This window comes from Homo sapiens, chromosome 3 (assembly GCF_000001405.40).
Source record: "Homo sapiens chromosome 3, GRCh38.p14 Primary Assembly".
Taxonomy (NCBI): Eukaryota; Metazoa; Chordata; class Mammalia; order Primates; family Hominidae; genus Homo; species Homo sapiens.
The window spans coordinates 9,598,211-9,603,315 of NC_000003.12; the positions used below are offsets into that span (position 1 = coordinate 9,598,211).

The 5,105-nt window shown below is 50.2% G+C and overlaps 1 long non-coding RNA gene and 1 pseudogene across 1 annotated transcript; one reads left to right on the forward strand and one right to left on the reverse strand.

Annotated features, from left to right (window-relative positions):
- Nucleotides 1-210: 210 nt before the first annotated feature.
- LOC105376949 (uncharacterized) lies at nucleotides 211-2,477 on the reverse strand. The gene is made up of 3 exons (XR_940586.1): nucleotides 2,310-2,477; nucleotides 1,323-1,416; nucleotides 211-453 (listed from the first exon to the last, which is right to left on the reverse strand). It is a non-coding gene; the product is annotated as an uncharacterized LOC105376949 (long non-coding RNA).
- DUSP5P2 (dual specificity phosphatase 5 pseudogene 2) lies at nucleotides 3,480-4,698 on the forward strand (annotated as a pseudogene).

The window sequence follows — 5,105 nt, forward strand, 5'->3', positions numbered from 1 at the left end:
CTCGTGATCCACCCACCTCAGCCTCCCGAAGTGCTGGGATTACAGGTGTGAGCCACTGCGCCTGACCTAGACTTTCTTTTCAAATGCCTTTCTTGTGGGTGCATTTTTTGAGATCATCATATGGTTTTGTAACAGCCCAAGAGGTTCTTCTTGCCCACTGCCCAGAAAAGCCAATGCACTGAGAACAGCAGGTTTTGCAGCAAAGAACATGTTTAATTGCAAGGCCAGCCAAGCGAGAAGATGAGACAATTCTCAAATCTGCCTCCCAGAGAATGCGGAGGCTAGGGTTTTAAGGATAGTTTGGCAGGCAGGGAGCTAGGGAATGGGAAATACTGATTGGTTTGGTCAGGGATGAAACCACAGGGTTATCAAAACTGTCTCTGTGCCTCTGTCAGTTCCTGGGTGGGGGTCACAAGTCTGGGTGGCATCAGTTGTTCCACCAGAATGCAATGCCTGAAAAATATCACAAATACCAATGTTAGGTTTTACAATAGTGATGTTACCTATAGGGGCAACTAGAGAAATTATAAATCTCGTGACCACTAGCTGTATGAATTCTGAGCAGTAAGCAAATTAGAAAACAATGGCTAGTTATTATTAAACTCTGCATAGGTCGTCGCAGAATTCAGGACCCACCTATAATTCTAATCTTATGGCCTTTCATAAGTTTTACAAAGGCAATGTCAGTACCCAAACAAGGAGAGGGTAATTTGGGAAGGGACTGCTATCATCCTTGCTTTAAGGTTAAATTATTAACTAAATTCCTCCCAGGAGTTCCTGCCCAGGAATTGGCAAGGGCAGTTAGCTTATGAGTTTACAAGGAAGTTGGAGCCTGCTATATTAAATTTCTCTGTGTCTTTTTGGGAAAGGGCTATTACCAATTTTGTTTCAGAGTCAAATCATGAACTGAATTCCTTCCCAAAGTTAGTTTGGCATCCACCCAAGAATGTACAAGGACAGCTTGAAGGTCAGAAGCAAGATGGAGTCAGTTAGATCTGATCTCTTTCACTGCCATAATTTCCTCAGTTATAATTTTTGCAAAGGCGGTTTTGTAACCGCCCAAGGGGTTGACCTGACCTTGCCCGCTGCCTAGACAGAGCAGATTCGTCAAGACAGGGCAATTGCAATAGAGAAAGACTAATTCACTCAGAGCCGGCTGTGTGGGAGACCAGAGTTTTATTATTACTCAAATCAGCCTCTCTGAGCATTTGAGCATTCAGGGAGCAGAATTTTTAAGGATAACTTGGTGGAAGAGGGGAAGCCAATCAGGAGTGCTGATTGGTCAGAGATGAAATCATAGGGAGTAGAAGCCGTCTTCTTACGCAGTCAGTTACTGGGTTGGGGAGGAGGGGCACGAGATCAGATGAGCCAGTTCATTGATCTGGGTGGGGCCAGCTGATCCATCATGTGCAGGCTCTGCAAAATCAAGCACTGATCTTAGGAGCAGTTCAGGGAGGGTCAGAATCTTATAACCTCCAGCTGCATGACCCTTAAACCATAATTTCCAATCTTGTGGCTACTGTTAGTCCTACAAAGGCAATATAGTCTCCAGGCGAGAAGGAGGTCTGCTTTGGGAAAAGGCTGTTACCATCTTTGTTTAAACTACAAACTATAAACTTAAGTTTCTCCTGGGCAGGCGCGGTGGCTCACGCCTGTAATCTCAGCACTTTGGGAGGCCGAGGCGGGCGGATCACGAGGTCAGGAGATCCAGACCATGGTGAAATCCCGTCTCTACTAGAAACACAAAAAATTAGCCGGGCTTGGTGGCGGGCGCCTGTAGTCCCAGCTACTCTAGTCTCCTGCCTCGGGAGGCTGAGGCAGGAGAATGGCGTAAACCCGGGAGGCGGAGCTTGCAGTGAGCCGAGATCGCGCCACTGCACTCCAGCCTGGGCGACAGAGCGAGCAACGATCCGTCTCAAAAAAAAAAAAAAAAAAAAGTTTCTCCCAAAGTTAGTTCAGCCTACGTCCAGGAATGAACACGGACAGCTTGGAGGTTAGCAGCAAGATGGAGTCAGTTAAGTTAGATCTCTTTCACTGTCTCAGTCATAATTTTGCAAAGGTGGTTTCAGTTTCAATGATATTTTGTTGTAGCAGCAGGAACAAGTTAAGAATTATTATCCTCTTTATTATTGGTCTCAAAATCCCAGGCTCAAGCAATCCTCCCACCTGGGGCCTCCCAAAGTGTTGGGACTACAGGTGTGAGCCACTGCAGGGCCTACGGTTCTTATATATTGCTAAATTCACTTTGTGATATGAAGGATATTGGTTAATAAAGGATATATTGTTCTATAGGTTCTCTCTCCACCCACCTTGTAATGTCTTAGACTGGCTTTAGCATCAGGGTAAGTCAAATATAAATTAAAATGAGTTGGGAAGTATCCCTCCTCCTTCATGTTCTGGGAGAGTTGGTGTAGGATTGAGATTATTTCTTCTCTAAATATGTGAATCAGGGCTTCTGTTGGGGCCGGGGGGCGGGGGCGCTGGGGCGCTGGGCGGTGGAATGAAGGTCACGTGCCCGACGGGCGCCAGCTGGCTAGATGCCTGGCAAGGAGGCGGCGGCGTGCTCCACTGCCCGCCCGACCTGCCTGCCCTTCGCCGCCCGAGAGTGCGCGGCGCGCTCAACGTCACCTTCGACTCGGTGGCGCCACGGCGGGCCCGGGGCAAAGCGCCGGGCTGCGGCAGAAGGGCGGCAGCGGCGGCGGCCGCGATGGATCTAGGCTAGGGCAGTCGCCACCCGCCCAAGCTGCGAGCCCCATACTCGACTCCTGCTCGCCTGCCTGCCAGCCTGCCCGTGGCCCGCGGGTCTCCTTCCTCAAAGGGGGACCTTCTACTCAGAATATCCCGAGTGCTGCGTGGAAGTAAAACTATTCCACAAGATCGACAGTGGGAGAGCCGGCCTGGCACATTGGCTCAGACCTGTAATCTCAGCACTTTGAGAGGCCGAGGCGGGCGGATCACCTGAGGTCAGAGGTCGAGACCAGCCTGGCCAACGTGGTGAAACCCCCTCTCTACTAAAACTACAAAAATTAGCCGGGCGTGGTGGAGGGTGCCTGTAATCCCAGCTACTCAGGAGGCTGAGGCAGAAGAATCGCTTCAACCCTGGAGGCGCGGGTTGCAGTGAGCCGAGATTGCACCATTGCGCTCCAGCCTGGATGAGAGAGCCAGACTCAGTCTCAAAAAAAAAGGAAGTAGGAGAGCCGGCCCAGCGCGTTGGCTCACGCCTGTGATCCCAGCACTTTGGGAGGCTGAGGAGGGAGGATAGCTTGAGCCCAGGAGTTTGAAACCAACCCGGGCAACATAGAGAGATCCTGTCTCTACAAAAAATAGAAAATTTAGCCAGGTGTGGTAGAGTGCGCTGGTGGGCCCAGCTACTCGGGAGGTTGAAACGGGGACATCACTTGAGCCCAGGGGTTCAAGGCTGCAGGAAGCCATGATCGGGCCACTGCACTCCAGCCTGGGCAACAGAGTGAGACATTGTCTCAAAAAAGAAGGAAAGAAGTGACCCTCATCAGCCAGTCTGGAAAACCAGTGCTGTACATCAGCTATGGGCCAGCTTATGACCAGGGTGGCCCAGTTGAAATTTTCCCTCCCTCTACTTTGGCAGGGTCAACCATGCATCCAAGGGAGAGTTCCTCCCCAACCTGCATATCACAGGTCTCCAGGCCAACCTCCAAGACCCAAAGGACCCATCTTCACTACAAATGGATCCCCATGGAAGACAGCCATATGGCTGACACTAACTCCCACTTTCAAGAATAGACAGGCCGGGCACCATGGCTCATGCCTATAATCCCAGCAGTTTGGGAGTCCGAGCCGGGCTGATCACTTGAGGTCAAGAGTTCGAGACCAGCCTGGCCAAGTAGTGAAACCTCATCTCTACAAAAGTACAAAAATTAGCCAGCTGTGGTGGTGAGTGCCTGTAATCCCAGCTACTGGGGAGGCTGAGGCACAAGAATCACTTGAACCCGGGAGGCAGAGACTGCAATCACGGCACTGCACTCCAGCCTGGGGAACAAGAGTAAAACTCCGTCTCAAAAAAAAAAAAAAAAAAAAAAAAAAAAAAAAAAAAAAAATATATATATATATATATATATATATGCAATGGACTTCATTGGCTGTGTCAGGGGAAAAGGAGGCAAGGTCCTGGTCCACTGTGAGGCTGGAATCTCCCATTCACCCACCAGCTGCAAGTCTTCCCCCATGAAGACCAGACAGCTCTGCCTGAAGGAGACCTTCAATTACATCAAGCAGAGGAGGAGCATGATCTGGTCCAATTTTGGCTTCATGGACCAGCTCCTACAGAAGGAATCTGAGATCCCACCCTCCACGCCCACCCCCAGCCTCCCTCTTGCCAAGCGAGGCAGCAGGCTCTTCACTGAAGGTCATTTGCAGATACTGAGCCCAGGCCTGCAGGATGCCTACTGCACATTCCCTTCCCCGGTGCTGGCACTGGTGCCCACCCACCGGACAGTCTAAGAGTTCAGCAGGATCCCTGTGGCCACAGCCACATCCTGCTAAAACTGGGATGGAGGAACCAGCCCAACCCCAAGAGCAACTGTGACTTTTGTTTCTAAGACTCGTGGACACTTCATCCCAGTGCAATACTGAAGACCTCACTCTGTCACACTGCCCCAGTGAGATAGTGAGTGCTCACCAGGCTTGCAAATGAACTTCAGGCTGACCTCAGGGTAGGTTCTCAAAACACCAAAGGAGGGCCAAGCCATTATGGGAGCACAGCATGTGCTGACTACTGTGCATCCAGACCCCCTGCCCTCTCAGGACTGCCCAGTCCTTGCACCTCAAAGTTCGCCTTTTCATTTAAAGCGTAAGGCAATAAATACCCTGCAGCAGCATGGGAGAAATAAGTTGCTGGACAAGGAGAAAAGGCAGTTGGGAAACCAATTCATTTGGAAGGAAGCACAATTTCCACCTTCTTTTCTGAACTTTGGCAGTCTCACTGTCTGTCTCTGTTGCTTCAGGGCATAAGCTGATCACCATGTAGCCAGGAAGGTAACCCTGCAGGGTTTGTAGGGGCATGATATATGCACTGATTTAAACCCTGACATGTTTTTAAGATTCTTTCTTGGGTCCAATGGAGGCAGTTG